We start from the raw sequence: 17,069 nt of genomic DNA on the forward strand, positions 1-17,069 counted from the left end.
GTGGCAGAGGGGTGTCCAGTTAAGCTCTTCATTTTCATGATCCAAGTTCATTCTCCCCACAGCCCCAAGAACTAGGCTTGTCCACTTTACAGATTGGGAGGTGAGCGACGCACCCACAGCTCCGCAGCTGGCAGGTGGAAAGGACAGGCCAGGCCAGGCCAGGCCAGGGCTGTGACTCCACAGCTCAGATACAGCAGCAGCCCCAGCCTGGGCAGCCCAAGCCCCGCACTCAGAGCAGGTAGCCCTGGTCTTGGCAGACAGGCCCACCTCTGCCTGAGTTCTGTTTGTGCCCAGGCTGGAGACCAGGGCAGGTGTGCATGTCACCCAAGTGACACCAGCGTCTGGCCATAGCTCACACGCACCTGAGCCAATGTGGGGCGGAAGTGAGGACCTGCTGTCCTAGGTTTTCACACCTAACTTGTTTGATGTCAGCGCGAGTTGGAGAAGCATCTGCTGTTTTTCAGCTTTCTGGAGGGGTTTGTGGAAGACTGGTGTTATTTCTATCTCAAATATTTAGTAAAGGTCATTTGTGAATCCATCTGGGCTGGAGTTTTGTTTTTGTATTTTTTAGCGTGGGATACTTTCCTCTATGATCTTTAACCTTAAAATTTATTTTTCAAACAGAAGAGTGAACATCCATAGGACCCACTACGTACACTCTAATTGATATTTTTGCTGTATTTATCACACACCTGTTCATTCCTTGAGGGTACAGTTGTTACTATGGATTCAATTTCTTCTACACTTTTAACACCATTTGGATTTTCTGTTTTGTTTTGTTAAATTCTGCCTTTCTGACAATTGGTATCTCTCCTCTAAATTTATCTAAAATTTTAAATTAATTGCCATAAAAGTATCCATAATAGCTATTATTTTTTCCATTTGCAGGATTTACAGTGATGTCCTGATTTCATTCCTGATGTTGGTGATTTCTGCCTCCTCTCTCTCTGCCTCTCCTTCGCTCTTTCTCTCTCTTTATGCAATCTCCTTAGGGGTGTACATTTTATTAGCCTATTCAAAGAACACATTTTGTGTTTGATAGTCTTTATTGTATGTTTCATTAATTTATTTTCTTATTTCTTGCCTTCTATCTTTGGGTGAATTTTGTTGTTCTGGAAAGTTTCTTATGATATGTTCACTGATTTCTAGCCTTTCTGTTGTGATGTAGGCATTCAAGGCTATAAAGTGCCCACTAATGGTTTTAGCTGCATCCCAAAAGTATGTGCAGCATTTTCATTAACCTTTGTTTGAAAATATTTTATAATTTCTGTTGCTATTTGAAGTAAGTGTGGTTGTTAGTTTTCAGATGACCTTTTGTCAGTGTGTTTTCGTGTGGCTGCACTGTGGTAGGAGAGCAGACTTAGTGCTTGCGGTTTGTGGAGATCTTCCAGGACTGGCTCTTGACCCGGCTGTCAGTCTTTGTTGCTGTTCCAATGATGCTGGAGCTGAATCTGTTCCCTTCTCTCCACATCCACACTCCCAAGCTCCGCCACTGTGACTTCTGTTCTGAATGACTGCAGGGTCCTCTTGACAGGTACACCTCCGCCAGTCTGAGTCCTCAAATTTATTCTCAGTGGAACCCCATTATTCTAGGACAAAGTCAGGACTCCTGAACATGGTCCCACAGCTCTGCGAGGCTGCACCCGGAGCCTGGGCAGGCTCATCTCTGCTGCCTGGGCTCCAGCTATATCAGCATTCAGGATTAGCAGTGCTAACTGTTGTTCAGATGTTCTGGATTCTTTTAAGTGTTAAGGGTTTTTTTAAACTTTTATTTTTGTCATGGCAAAAAAATATATATATATATATAAAACACAAAATTTACAATTTTACACATTTTCAAGCGTACAGTTCAGTGGCATGAAGTACATTCAGAGCATTGTTTAACCATCACCATCCATCCACTGAACCTTTTCATCTTCCCCAGGGAAACTCTATCCCTATTAAACACTAGTTCCTCAGCCCCCTCTCTGGCACCTCTGGTTTCCCAGGCCCTGGTAGCCTCTATCCTTCTTTCTGTCTCTATGACTTTGACTACTCTAAGTACCTCATAGAAATGGAATCATACAGTATGTGCCCTTTGGTGAATGGTTTATTTCATTTGATACAATGTTTTCAAGGTGCATCCATGTTGTAGTATGTATCAGAACTTTTTAAAATCAGCCAGGCGTGGTTGCACATGCCTGTGGTCCCAGCCACCCGGGAGGCTGAGGTGGGAGGATCGCTGGAGCCCAGGAGTTGGAGGCTGCAGTGAACTATGATTGTACCACTGTACTCCAGCCTGGGTGACAGAGAAAGATCCTGTCTCAAAAATAAATAAATTCAGAATACTGTGCAGCCACCACCACTGTTCATCTCCATCTCTTTTTATTGTGTGAAACTCTGTACCCATTAAACAATAACTCCCTATTGTCCCTCCCCCAGCCCCTGGGAACTTCCATTCTGCTTCTGGTCTCTCTGACTTTGACTCCTCTATGTACCTCATAGAGTGGAATCACACGGTATCTGTCTTTTTCCACTGGCTTATTCTACTTAGCAAAATGTCCTCCAAGGGCACCCTTGATGACATCCATGTTGTAGCATGTCCGAATTTCCTTTCCTTTGAAGGCTGAGTGATAGTTCATTTTATCTGGTACCACATCCATTCTCAGGGGAATCCTGTTACGGGATTGTCTGTCAGTTCTGTCAGTGGACGCTTGGGTGGCTTCCATCTTTTAGCTGTTATTAATCTGCTGTGAACATAGGTGTACAAGCATCCCTTCAAGACCCTGCTTTTATCCTTTTGGGTATAAACCCAGAAGTGGAATTGCTAGATCATATGGTAATTGTATGATAGTTTTTCGAGGAACTATTTTCAGTAACAGCTATACCATTTGACATTTCCACTAACAGTGCACAAAGGTTCCAGTTTTTCCACATCTGTGCCAACAGAAGATTTCCTTTCTGGGTTTTTTTGTTTGTGTGTGTGTGTGTGTGTGTGTGTGTTTTGAGACGGAGTTTTGCTCTTTTGCCCAGGCTGGAGTGCAATGACACGATCTTGGCTCACTGTAACCTCTACCCTCTAGGTTCAAGCAATTCTCCTGCCTCCCGAGTAGCTGGGATTACAGGCGTCTGCCACCACGGCCAGCTAATTTTTGTATTTTTAGTAGAGACGGGGTTTCACCATGTTGGTCAGGCTGATCTCGAACTCCTGACCTCAAGTGATCCACCCGCCTCGGCCTCCCAAAGTGCTGGGATTACAGGCGTGAGCCACCGTGCGCCACCGCGTTCAGCCATCCTTTCTGGTTTTTGATGGTAGCCATCCTCTCAGGTGTGAAGTGGTATCCTGTGGTTTTGCTTTACATTTTCCTAATTGAGTAGTGATATTGAGCGGCTTTTCATGTGCTTATTGGCTGTTTCTATGTCTTCCTTGAAGAAGTATTTATTGAAGTCTTCTGCCAATGTTTGAATCAGCTCGTTTTTTTCATTGTTGAGTTTTAGGAATTTTCTGCATAATCCAGATATTAATCCCTTATCAGATATATGATCTGTTGATAGTGCCTTTGGATGCACGAAAGTTTTAAAATTTGTCTTGTTTTTCATTTGTTGCCTGTGCCTTTAGTGAAATACCCAAGAAATCACTGCCAAATCCAGTGTTGTGAAACCTTTTCCTTAAGTTTCCTACTAAGAGTTTTCTGGTTTTCGCTTTCACATTTAGAACTTTGGTCCATTTAGAGTTGATTTTTTTTCTTTTTTCCTGAGATTGTGTCTCACTCTGTCGCCAGGCTGGAGTGCAGTGGCATGATCTCAGCTCACCGCAACCTCTGCCTCCCGGGTTCAAGCAATTCTCCTGCCTCAGCCTCCCAAGTAGCTGGGACTACAGGCTTGCACCACCATGCCCAGCTAATTATTTTATTTTATTTTTAGTAGAGACGAGATTTCACCATGTTGGCCAGGATGGTCTCGATCCCTTGACCTCATGATCCGCCCGCCTCGGCCTCCCAAAGTGCTGGGATAGAGTTGATTTTTGTGAGGCAAGGCAGGGCTCCACCTTCTTTTTCTGGTATGTGCATATCCAGTTTTCCCAGCAGACGTTGTTGAAAACTGCTTTCCCCTTTGAATGGTCTTGGCCCCCTTGTGGAGAGTCACTGCAGCATAAGAGTTAGCCTTCATCTCTGGGCTCTCCTCTCCTGTGACTCCCGTAATGTTTTACTCATCCACTTCATGGTGGACCACCCTCTGGCTCTGTCCACTCTGCCACTTTTTTCCTCTGCTCCTCACAGGATCATTTCCATTGTAAGTGTCTCCAGCTTGCTGATTCTTTATTCTGCCTGCTCAGATCTGCCGGTGAACCCCTCTAGTGAATTTGTAAGTGTCAGTTATTATTTTCAGCTCTTCTAGTTCCATTTGATCACCTTCATAATTCCTATCTGTTGATATCCTCATTGTGTTCCTCTGTGATTTTCCTGACTTCCTGTAGTTCTGTGTCCATGGCTTCCTTCAGTTCTTCGAGCACATTTAAGACAGTCGGTTTAAAGCCTTTGTTTACTAAGTCCAATGTCTAGGCTTCCTTGGGCATGTTTTTGTCAGTTAAATATTTTCCTTTGAATGAGTCATACCTTCCTGTTTTATTTGCTTTAGATTTTAGGTCACTAAATTTTTCTTTGTGTCTAAACTGCTGTTAAACCTATCCATTCAGTTTTTAATTTGGGTTATTGTGTTTTTCAGTTGAATTTTTTTTTAACCGTATCTCCTGTATCTTTAAAAAAAAAAAAAAGTTTCTGACTCTTTACCAAAATTCTCTATCTTGTATCTCCTTCACATAATATTTTTTAGTTTTTGTTTGCTCTTTGTCCTAGTTTTTCTTTATATTGCCTTGTCTTTTCTTGTGACTTTTTAAATATTCTGTGTAGGACATTGTAGTTGAAATTGTATTTGCAAAAAGAATTTGAGGTCTAGTAATAGGTTTCTCATTATTGTTTAATTTGCCTTAGAGCAAATTAAACAATTTTCATATTCTTATATTTTCATATTCTTATCAGCCGTCTTTTAAAAAGTGCCTGGTCAAGGATAGTGACCATTTAAAAGTTGATTTGTTTAACTTTTTATTATTGATTTGTGGGAGTTCATCATATATCTTTTGTCATATACAAGGGGGCTTCCAAAAGTTCACAGAAAAATGGAATTAAAAGATAAAAGTAAGAAATATATGGCTGGCCATGGTAGCTCACACCTGTAATCCCAGCACTTAGGGAGGCTGAGGCAGGTGGATTGATTGAGTCCAGGAGTTCAAGACCAGCCTTTGCAATATGGCAAAACCTCATCTCTACAAAAAATATAAAAATTAGCTGGGCTGCTGGGTGCAGTGGCTCACGCTTGTAATCCCAGCACTTTGGGAGGCTGAGGCGGGTGGATCACCTGAGGTCAGGAGTTCAAGACTAGCCTGGCCAACATGGTGAAACCCTGTCTCTACTAAAAGTACAAAAAAAAAAAAAAAATTAGCCCAGCATGGTGGTGGGCTTCTGTAATCCCAGCTACTCAGGAGGCTGAGGCAGGAGAATCGCTTGAACCTGGGAGGCAGAGGTTGCAGTGAGCCGAGATTGTGCCATTGCACTCCAGCCTGGGCGACAAGAGCAAAAGTCCGTCTCAAATAAAAATAAAAAAACAGCTGGGCATGGTGGTGCATACCTATAGTTACAGCTACTAAGGAGGCTGAGGTGAGAGGATCGCTTGAGCCCAGGAGGTCAAGGCTGCAGTGAGCCGAGATAGTGCCACTGCACTCCAGCCTGGCGACAGAGCAAGACCCTGTCTGAAAAAAAAAAAACAGCTGGGCATGGTGGCACATACCTATAGTTACAGCTACTAAAGAAGAAATACACGCTTTTTTCTTAACACAAGCACCATCAAGTTCAAGACACTTATAAGCAATGATGCCAGCCATTTATAAGCAATGATGCCAGCCATTTATAAGCAATGATGCCAGCCATTTAGTCCCTCCCTAAAGACCTAATGGTCCTGGGAATTTAACCATGGCCATGGAGTCTTTTTTACATTATTAATTGACAAAAAATGGGTGCCCTTTACAGATGTTTCAAAATTAGGAAGCAAAAAGAAGTCAGAGGGAGCCAAATCAGGACTGTAGGGTAGATGCCTGATGATTTCCCATGGAAACTCTTGCAAAATCACCCTTCTTTGGTGAGAGGAACGAGCAGGAGCATTGTCGTGATGGAGATGGACTCTCTGGGGAGGCTTTCCCGGGGGGGGTTTTGCTGAAGCTTTGGCTAACATTCCCTAAACATTCTCATACTAAGCAGATGTTACATTCCTTGTTACCCCTCCAGAAAGTCAGCAAGCAGAATGCCTTAAGCATCCCAAAAGCTGTTGCCACAATGTGCTCTTGACTGGCCCACTTTTGCTCTGATGGGACCACTTCCAGCCCTCAGCACCATTGCCTTGACTGCACTTGGTCTTCAGGACCATACCAGGAAAGCCACGTTTCATGTCGCTATAGTTCAAAGAGAGCTTCAGGATCTCCATCCCACTTGTTCAAAGTTACCACTGACAGCTCTGCTCTTCTCTGCGCCTGATGTGGGCGCAATGGGTTTGGCACCCATTGAGTGGAAAGTCTGCTCAACTTTCATTTTTCTGTCAGAATTGTGTAAGCTCAACCTACTGAGCTGTCTGTGGTGTTGGCCACTATTTCTGCTGTTAACCACCCGTCCTCTGCACTTACGGCTCAGACCAGATGAGTGTTTTCCTCACAAAGTGATGCGGATGGCCTGCCGCTGTGGGCTCCGTCTTCAGCATGGTCTCATCCCTTCTTAAAACAAGTCAACCATTTGTAAACTGCTATTTTCTTTGGGGACATGGACCCTGTAAACTTTTCAGAAAGCATCAGTGATCTCACCATTCTTCCACCCAAGCTTCACCATACATGTGATGTTGGTTCTTGCTTGGCAGAATTCACGTTATTGTGATAGGGGCTCTTTTCAAACTGAAGTCTTCTCCTTCTTAGTGCCTCAGACTACCTCCTCTTCAGACATGCTGCAATAAGTTAGTACAAGTTTATTTGGGTACAAAGATTTTTTTTGAAAGTCATGCATAGTTTTTTCATGGTATGTCTTTTCCATGAACTTTTTGAAGACCCCTTGTGTGTGTGTGTGTGTGTGTGTGTGTGTGTGTGTGTGTGTATATAATGGATATAGTCTACCAATCTGTGGTTTGTGTTTTCACTTTCTTAATGGTGAACATGAAATGGTAAAAATTTTAATTTTTTTTTTCCTAAAAGCTTTGCAGCTTTAGCTATTGCTTTAGATCCCATGAGCCATCTCAAATGAACTCTTGAGTATATTTTGATGCAGAGGTAAATCTGTTTTTTTCCTCTCTGCATATCTGATCGTTCCAGCCCCTTCCTCTCCATATTGAATTGCACTGAATTGAGCAGACATTCGTCAAGTGGTCGTCTGTGTGTAGGTCCATTTCTGAATTTGCTATTTTGTTTGCTTTAGCAATTCCCTTATCATTGTGGCAACACCACACTCTCTTCATGACTGAAGTTTTCTAGGAAGTTTAATCTTTGCTCAGGAAAGACTTTCAGTGTTGATCTTCTTCAAGAAGTTCTTGATTTTTTTCAGGTCGTTAATATTTCCATATGTTTTAGGAACAGCCTGTCACTTTCTGCAGGCTAGCCCACTGGGATTTCGGCTGGGAGTGGATTCAGTCTGTTGATTATCTGGGTGAGGTTTGACATATGAACAACATGAGCGTTCCTGTGAATGTAGTGTCCGTTTACTGGCATCTTTTTTGTTTCTCTGCAGTGTAAAGATGTTATACCTCTTTCATTAAATTTATCCCTAGGTAGCTGATGTTTTGGAATGCTATTATAAATGTTATTTTTCTTTAAATCTCCTTTTCCAGCTTCCTGTTGCTAGAATATAAAACTATGGTTGACTTTCGTACCCCATATCCTGCAATTGTGCTAAATTTGCTATTAGTTCTAGAAATTGGTTTGTCCATTCTTGTGGGTTTTCTGCATACACAGTCTTGTCATCTGCATGAGGCCAGTTCTCCTTCTCTCTGTCCAGTCTGTGCGGTTGACTCCTTTTCCTCCCCGCCTGGAGATCCCCGTGGTGTCGACTGGAAGCATGGAGGCACCTTGGGGAGGTATTGGGCATTTTGTCGTGGGCAGGGGCTCAGCTGTCGGTTCCATAGAGGACCTTCCAGATAAGGAGGCCCCTCCAGCCCCTGACTGCCGAGCTTGATTTCCAGGAAGGGTTGTGGAAGTCACCGAGTGCCCTCCATGCACCTGTGAAGAGTGCCCAGTGGGGCCCTCCCTGGAGTGGAGAGGAGTGACTCCCCGTGGCCAGCAGCCTTGCCTTCCTGGGGCACACCCCGCATACAGCTTCTCCCCGGGCTGGGACAGTGGAAGGGCTGCCTTGCCATCACCTCCCTGCACACTTGCTTTGCCCAGGTCCTGGGGCTCTGCTCCTGCCAGCTCCTGGGTGGTTCATGCTCCTGTGAGGGCACTGACCAGCCAAGCAGGAGGGCTTTGTGGTGGCTGAGTAGAGGCATGTGGGGTCACTCATGCGCCCTCAGGGTCCAGGCCCCACTAGTCCTCCTCCAAGTCCCATTTTGGCTGGTGGACACCCAGGTGTGTGGCCTAGAGGCTATCAGGCTGCAGCTTGGGGAAGCAAACAAGGGAGGGTGATGGTTCCTGGCCCCACACCATCATTCTGGTGTCAGCCCTGAGAGGGTGCCTGTCACAGCAGGTTCCAGGACTGCTGCCTCCTGAGGATGGAGAAACTGTGGCACCCTGGGGGCCACTAAGGGAGGCCAGCTGATTGCAGCCACGTGTACCTTCCTCTTCTCGTCTCTGTGTTTTGTAGATGACCGCACCTCGAGCAGGAGTGGGGATGCCACGTCTGCCCCCAGCGCCCGGCCCTCTGTCCACCACGGTCATTCCCGGAGCCGCCCCGACCCTGTCCGTGCCCACACCAGGTACTGCCCTCTCCAACCTCCCAACCCCACCCTGTGCGCTGCCTCTGGGTCAGTACAGAGGCCTGCTCCCAGCTCCAGTGTCCTGGGGGCCCTGGGCAGGCCAGGTGGGCCAGCTGGGGGCACAGGGCAGCTGGAACACCCCCCAGGTGCCCGTGCTGCCAGTCTTCTTGCAGCCACCTGTGGTCAGCATGCCTGGCCCCCGGCTGCGGATCACGTAGCCTTCTGCCCTGTCCCTTGCCAGATGGCGCCCTCGGAACCGCCCGGAGAAACCAGGTGTGGTTTGGCCTCCGAGTCCCCCCCACCGCCTGCTGTGGGCACAGCACTCAGCCGCGAGGGGGACAGCGGGTGGGCAGCAAGACTGCTTCCTTTGCGGCTTCAGACCCTGTTCGCTCCTAGGTTCCTGTGGTCCACGCGCCGTCTCCACACCCACTTCCTATACTTGAGTTGATGGTTAGAACCTTGTCGTCACCCTGCAGAAGTACAGTGCCTTGAATGCCAGCTTTTCCGTTCCCTGATGAAAAGATATGTTAAAAAAAATTATCGGAAAAGGTTTCATTTGCAATTGGCTTGTGCATTGATAATCTTTATTTACTGTTTTAAGTTGCAGAGATGTGAATGGTTTACAAATCTGAAGCTGAAGTTCAATCTTTGGTTTTCTGTTGTAAATGCCTTTTACAAACATTGAATTAGCTACCTTAAGTATTGAAGAGCTTCCATTGCTAGGTGAGCCCTGCTTTGTCCTCAGTAGAGTGCCGGTTCCCTGGGCTCATCCAGGGGCTGAGAGACGGCGGGACGCTGGGGCAGGGCACACTGGCGGAGCTGCTTGCTCAGTAGGGAATGTCAGTTGTTGCGCTGGGCCATGAGAAATCCGCCAGAAAACGTTAGGTGAGCAGACATGCCCCCCATGCCAGTGGGCTGCTGTGAGTGAGGATAAGGTGTGTGTTGGGCATAGAAACCCTGGCTGCCCGCCCACCCTGTGGAGACAAGTGCAGCTCCTCCAGCTGGAGAGGCTGCCCTCTCTCCTGCCCACTTCCCTCCCTTCTCCATGATTTCCATGGAGACCTGTGGCTCTGCTCACCCCTGGCATGCAGACCGCTCTCCCGTCCAGCCCTAAGCCTGCTCTGCGGAGGGCGGGGTCATTCTTCTCCTGGAGATTTCAGTGGGACTCGTCCCCAGTGGGCACAACACAGCCCTTGGTGGGAGGGGAAGGCCCCAGCCTCCTCCACCTCCCACTGGAAAGCAGACTGCTTGGGACTGCCCAGCTGTGAATTGTATAGTTTCTGTACTTATTAGAACTGGGTAAATTATTTTGGTTCAAATCTATTATTCCATCAATTCAGTTAGAATTGAATTTTCTAGGTGATTATGCAGAATCTTCTGCCAGGGCACGATGCTGTCGTAAGAGATTTCTGTTCTCTGTACTGGGCCCCCTTGCCCTGTTCCTTGAGTGAAGTGGGGGCTGCCCTCACCTGTCCCCCTTGCCTGTGAATCCCTTCCTTGTACATGGTGGTCAGTGGCACGGAATCCCCAATAGATTGTATATCTGAAGGAGAAAAATAAACACTTTTGCTCGAAAACAGTGTGAAACAACATCTTTTTCTTACCCTCTATCCATATAAAATCCAAAGCAACCAGCCTCCTAGGGAGCACAGGAGTTGGGAGCCAGTTCTGGGCTCAGCTGCATCCACACCTCTGGAGGAGGGTGCTGAGGGGCTGCGGGTGCTGGGCTGGGCTGTCCCCGGCAGGGGTCTGAGAGCAGGGCATCTGGCAGGGCTGCCTGGCCCCCAACACTGCCCCCGCCAGCTGTGGCCTGGGCCCCGAGCACGGTCAGCTCTGCTGGTCGGGTTAGCTGGCTGGGCTGCCCACCACTCTGCACCTGATTACACTTAGCAGTGCCACGGGCTGTGACCATGATGGAGGGAGCCAGCCTCCTGGTCAGCGAGACACACCTGCAGCCCCTGTCTCCAGGAGGCTTGGTTTGCATTACTTGCTGCAGCCCCTGGGGCCACCCTCTTTGCTCCAGATGGGCCGAGCTCAGGGGAAGTGGGAGCTCCTCAGATGAGCTTGGACTTGTTGAGAGGAGGACTTGGGGCTGGGGTTGCCCATGGATCATGCAAGGGGCAGTGGCTTTTCTGGTAGGCACAGGGGCCTTAGGGAAGGTGGCCATCCAGGGTGGGGCCTCATCCTGTGGGACTCAGCGCATGGTGGCAGCCAGCCCCCCAGCATCCCACTAAAGACAGCCTCGAGCTGACTGTGGTCCCTCCTGCGTGTGCATTGCAGGCCTCACTGTGAGCAAGCTGAGGGTCCCAGTGTCTCCTGCCCGGTCCACTGTGGGGGCTGCCTTGGCTGTGGGGCCACCTCCTCAGAGAGCTGCAGTGCCAGCCTTCGAGCTTCTGCATGGAGGGAGGAGGAACACTCATCCCAGAGCCTCCTGTTTTGGGTGTTGGAGGGCAGCTCACTCCCCAGATGCTCCAGACGGTACAGGAGCAGAGCGTCTGTTTGGGTTTCTGGCAGCCGTTCAGTGTGCTGACTGGTCACACAAAGAAGGGTGGTCCAGGTGACAGAGGCCGCCAGGGCTGTGCTGAGGACAAGACCATCTACACAGGGCGTGGGTCATGGCAGAGCTGGCGCAGCCTTCCCGTCGGCAGCTCCTGGGAGGGTGTCAGGGCCTGGCCCTTGGCGAGTGGCCAGCACTGCGGTGGGCCCACAGTCAGCTGCGCGGTTTTGTTTTCCAGATCCTGAGAGTGAGAAGCCTGACTGACCCCGCCTAGACGCCAGGCCCACTTCACGCCGTCTAAGTGGAGAAGTGACGGACCCTCAGGGCCAGCTGCTCCTCCTGTCCAGTTCACGCTGTTTTGTAACCACTTTCTAAGCATTTTTTATTCACAATTGGAAACACAAATGTAATGCAAGAATAAAAAATATTTTGGGGCAGAAAGGACTTTGGTTTTTCAAACTATTTCCTCTCTGGTGGCCCTCGGCCAGCCAGGTGACTGGGATGTGACAGGGGTGGGGGGACATTCCCAGGACCCTGGCATGCTCAGGATAGCCCTGTTCTCTGCAGGGCCCTGGAGGTGGCGGCCCCGGGGAGGCTGATCTCCAAGTCCCCCCGATGCCAGCTGGCACGGACTCGGGGTCCTGGGTGCCTCCTGGCCTTTGCTCACGGAGCTCCATGAGGCAGACCCTTCCCTCTGGTCTTTGGAGGCTTGAAGTCACCCACCACCCCCACACCCACCTCCCAGGCACCCTCCTTCCAGAATTCACCTGCACTGGCAGGGAAAACACCAGTGGCCTGGGGCCAGAAACCTCTGGCTGTGGGGTGGCAGGTCTGAGACCACTGGCTCCTTGGAGGGCTGCATACCCCCCACTCGTGGGAGGGGTCCTAAGTGTGAGAAACGAGGAATGTTGACATGGCCTCACCAAGGAAACGTGCCGTGGTAAGGTCCCCACACCCTAGCCTGGCCAGCAGGCACAGGAGCCTTATGCTGGGTCCAGAGGTCTAGGGAGAATTTGGGGTCCCATGCATCACAATGAAAAAGCATTGCATCTCTATTTTCATTAATGTCTAACTGCAATTTAGCATTTCCTCCACTAACAGCACCTGGACTTCATCACCACTAGACACCACAGATATTGCTGTGCCATGCCATTTACATCCATGACACAGTGCCCTTCCCTGAGATGTAAAACTGTCCAGCCGGCTGATGGAGCAGCGCTGCCTGCCTATCTCAAACATGAGTCTTCAGGGCACAGTGACGCTGCTTCCCCACGGGAGTGTCGGAGATGCCATCCCGCTGTGTGCGGGTGACCTCGGAGTCCTGGCTCTTCTCCGTGTGATCAGCAGGGTAGGCCTCCTCCAAGCCTCAGCTGGGAGCAGGGATGGCACGGTGCTAGGAACATGGCTTCCCTTGGTCTTAGTTTGTGTTCTCTTCTGTTGGTGGCTCATGTGACTGGTTTTCTGTGGACCATAGTAATGCAGTTTGCCTTTTCTTTTTTTTTTTTTTTTCTTCTTTTTTTAATGAGACCGAGTCTTGCTCTGTTGCCCAGGCTGGAGTGCAGTGATGCAAACTCAGCTCACTGCAACCTCCGCCTCCTGGGTTCAAGTGATTCTTCTGCCTCAGCCTCCTGAGTAGCTGGGATTACACGTGTGCGCCGCCATCACACCTGGCTAATTTTTGTATTTTTAGTAGAGATGGAGTTTCAGCATGTTGGCTAGGCTGGTCTCAAACTCCTGACCTTGTGATCCGCCCGCCTTGGCCTCCCAAAGTGTTAGGATTACAGGCCTGAGCCACCGTGCCCGGCCGCAGTTTGCCTTTCAAACTGCACATTTATTTTAATCATTTTCTTTAAGTGAATAATAGTATAAATGTCAATGGTAAAATTTGGTGGTAGTATGGTAGTAAACAGTAGTACAATGGTCAATGAAATGGTAATGGTCAAGCCAGCACCCTCTGAGGAGATTCTGCACAGTGCACTTCCAGGACTCTGGGGCCCCGAATCCCAGCTTCATCTGCTGCTCAGAACCACCTAGCAGCCCTCCAGGGCCGCTAGGAAAAGGCCCCAAGCCTCAGCCGCAGAATCCAAGGCTCTTGGTGTTCAGCCTCACCCACTAGACGCGTCCGTGCTTCAGGCTTCACTGCTGCTGCACAGCGTGCCAGCTGGGCCCGGATATTCTTTTTTTTCTTTTTCTTTTTTTTTTTTTTTTGAGATGGAGTCTCGCTCTGTCGCCCAGGCTGGAGTGCAGTGGCGCGATCTCGGCTCACTGCAAGCTCCGCCTCCCGGGTTCCCATCATTCTCCTGCCTCGGCCTTCTGAGTAGCTGGGACTACAGGCAGCCCTGCCACCAGGCTGGCTAATTTTTTGTATTTTTAGTAGAGACGGGGTTTCACCGTGTTAGCCAGGATGGTCTCCATCTCCTGACCTCGTGATCCACCTGTCTCGGCCTCCCAAAGTGCTGGGATTACAGGCATGAGTCACCGCGCCCAGCTCCGGATTCATTCTTGACCCTCCCAGTCCCGGGTTCTCTCCTCCTCTGGGTTCTATCACACAGTCTGGGTGGACAGCTCACGAGAGCCCCAGAGACCTCAGCCCCTCATGGAGAGTTCTCATGGGTGCATATTATTTGTTATGCTTGACTTCCTGAAAGCAGGGACTTAAAATTGTTTCTGATAGCCCTTCACCTTCCAAAACAGTCACTGAGTGAAGCTGGCGCGCAATGAATTATGCTGATGAAGGCAGACTCCTTTGGGCAGATGAAGCTTCCAGTGGGTGCTTATTGGCTCTGATCACAGCATTTCTGGGATGGAAAGGACCCTGCCAGGCCTCTCCTAGGACAGCAAAGGCAGCATCACCTGGGGCCAGTCCAAGCTCCTCCTGCAGGGTCAAGGCAGCCAAGCCACAGCCTCTGCTCTCCAGTGTTGTTTTGTTTTTAGCTGACCCCAGCATCCAACCAGACTTCCAGTGTCCAGGGTGATATTGCGCCTCATCTCCAGGCTGAACAGCTTCAATTCTCTGAAAAGTGCTTATTACTAAAGGGCTGGTAAGGCTAGGCGCAGTGACCTATGCCTGTAATCCCGGTGCTTTGGGAGGCTGAGGCAGGAGGATCACTTGAGGCCAAGAGGTCAAGGCTGCAGTGAGCCGTGATCACATCACTGCACTCCAGCCTGGGTGACAGAGTGAGACCCTGTCTCTAAAACAAACAACAACAAAAAAAACAAAAACAAAAATAAAACACCTGAAGAAGCCTGTCTTCATTCATTAGAGGATGCAATTAAGCCTGGGCCAGGACGCCTGCCTTCCAGGTGGTTAAGGGAGTTCAGCAATGGTGACCACTCTGTACACATCGTGGTTGTGGTCCCTGAACTTGGCTTTATTAGACTTGCCCTTGAGAGGGGGCAGAAGGCCCACATGCCACAGGCATCACTGTGCTGGTGGTGGCTCATGCAGTCCTGCAGAGGTGTGGAGAAGAGTCCCTCACCCTGAGAGGACACTGGGGGTCGAAGGCTGCCCGAGGCCAGGCTGGATGGGGAGACAATGTTGTCCCATGCAACTCTGTGAAGAATCATTCATTTCTCACTGTGGTGGACAGCAGAGACCAGGGTCCTGGGCTGCAGGGGTCGGAGCTGCCGCCAGCTGGTTCTGCCTCCCAGTGAGGCTGTGTGGGCCGGGGCAGGAGGGCTTTGGAGCAATAGCAGTTCCTAACAGTTGATCCTTTTGAGCCCAAGCCCTCCAAATTTGATCACCAGCTCAAGGTTCTGTGAGCTGCCAGACCCATAAATCCAGCTGCCTCTCCCCCTCTCCATGGAGACCCTCAAAGTCATCTTGAAGATGCTCCACGTTGTAAAACGATATCACTCCCAAGCTTCATGGGGTCTTCCCAGATGTCCCAGTTTCCGAGGCTGGCATGACCAGTCACCTGGTTCATTCTCAGTCTAGGACTCAGACTCATCCTTGTCCCCTCATTTCCCAAATGTGGGCTGTGAACAGCTGAGTAGATGTTTTAGCTGAAATGTCCCCAAACACCCTTCCATCCAGTCTCCTCACTGCAGCCTGCATGATCTCTTCAAACAATGGATGCTCTGGTCCAGCCTCCTTGCCCAGCTCTGCCCTCTCCAGGTCTTTCCTACCTGCTGCTCCCCTCATTCTGAGCCCCACCACTAGGCGGGGTCCCTTGAGCCCTGAGGGGCCCGGCTCCGTCCTCCTAGGGCCTCACAAATGCCTACTCGGCGCCTGGTCCCTGCTCCAGCCTCACTTCCGTAGGCAACCTCTCCAACTCAAGGCCGGGTCAGCCTGATGCCCCTGTGCTCCCTTCTGAACGTGGCCTTCCCTGTGGACCTCCTGTCTCACTTCTCAGAGTGTGACGATGCACCATGGAGGCCACAGGGGATCCCATGTATGTCCCCTTCCATCCCCCTCCAGCCTCCCCATTGCTGCCGGCCACCTGGGCACAGAAGTCCTGTCTGTTTCACTTCCTATTTCCTCCTGTTCCTATGAGGGAGGCGCTCAGCCTGATTCTGTGGAGTGAGTGAGTGGAGGCTGGGGAGAGGGAAGAGGGTGTGTGGATGGAGGAGGGGTGGGCAGGGGACGCGAGAGCAGCCAGATCCTGGGCAGGGTGAGGAACGAAGGTGAGGACGCAGCCCCTGGGGAAGCTCAGGCGGAGCTGGAGGAGCCTGCGGCTGCGTGGAGGGTAACAAGAGTCAGAAGCCACAGTGGACAGCCACGGTCCCCACAGGCTTACCTGTTCAGGCAGCACAGTGGGCTTAGGGAATGTTGACAGGCATGGGTTTCCCTTCTCGACCTGCTTTGAAATAAGAGCCAAGGACAGCACACCCTGTCAGGGAAACAGACAGTGCTGGAATTGGGTGACTTTGAGGAAGGTTCATACACAAGGGACTGTTTCCAAAAGTGTGGGTGTCTGGAAGGCAGTGTTGGTAGACAGAATAATGTCCCCTCAAGGGGCCCACATGTGAATGCCTGGTCCTGTGCATGTCATCTTCACATGGCACCAGCACCCTCGCTGATGGGACTTGGGACAGGATCTTCAGGTGGGGAGAGGCCATGATGAGCCAGGCAGATGCAGCATCATCTCAGGGTCCCTCCATGCAGGAGGGAGGGGTCAGGGGAGGAAGTGTGACAGCAGCAGCAGGACCCGGAGAGCAGATGCTGAGTGGAGACCAGGAGGGGAGGACCGGGCAGCAGCCCAGGGCCTTGGGCAGCCTGGGAAGTCCGAGAAGGCAGGAGGAGCCCCCAGCAGGAGCCCGCCCTGCCCAGACCTTGACTTTCGCCCAGCAAGACTGATTTTCAGTTTTGTCTTCCAGGACAGGAGGGTAATAAGTTTGTGCTGCTTGAGACTGCCAGGCTGTGGTGAGACCTTAGAGCAGCGTCAAGAAACACACGCAGGCAGGAACCGGAGGCCGTCCCCATCCAGCCATGACCGGCTCCAGGCCTGGGGCCGCCACAGGAGGGTCACGTTGGAGGAGCCCCAAGGAACACAGCTGTGAGAGTCACCCCGGAAGAGGAGCACGGCCTGCAGCCCACGACAGAGCCAGCTGAGGTGGCCTCGCAGGAAGGAGCTGGGAGGCTCAGCGCCTGGCCCCA

The 17,069-nt window shown here is 50.3% G+C and overlaps 1 protein-coding gene across 51 annotated transcripts in view; it reads left to right on the plus strand.

The window, feature by feature from the left end:
• Nucleotides 1-11,911, plus strand: part of WNK2 (WNK lysine deficient protein kinase 2) — a 136,431-nt gene extending 124,520 nt beyond the window's left edge. For 19 of the 51 annotated variants that reach the window (NM_001282394.3, XM_005252137.4, XM_017015049.2 and 16 more), the window contains 2 exons: nucleotides 8,862-8,973; nucleotides 9,215-10,550. In NM_001282394.3, coding sequence (NP_001269323.1) covers nucleotides 8,862-8,973; nucleotides 9,215-9,369 — 267 coding nt within the window. In that variant the 3' untranslated portion in view covers nucleotides 9,370-10,550. Of the gene's footprint in view, nucleotides 1-62; nucleotides 539-8,861; nucleotides 8,974-9,214; nucleotides 10,551-11,708 lie in introns of those variants that run through there. The other 32 variants (NM_006648.4, XM_047423745.1, XM_047423751.1 and 29 more) reach the window with 3 other exon arrangements.
• The last annotated feature ends 5,158 nt before the right edge of the window (nucleotides 11,912-17,069 follow it).

The sequence above is a fragment of the Homo sapiens genome, chromosome 9 (assembly GCF_000001405.40).
Source record: "Homo sapiens chromosome 9, GRCh38.p14 Primary Assembly".
In the NCBI taxonomy this organism is placed as follows: domain Eukaryota; kingdom Metazoa; phylum Chordata; class Mammalia; order Primates; family Hominidae; genus Homo; species Homo sapiens.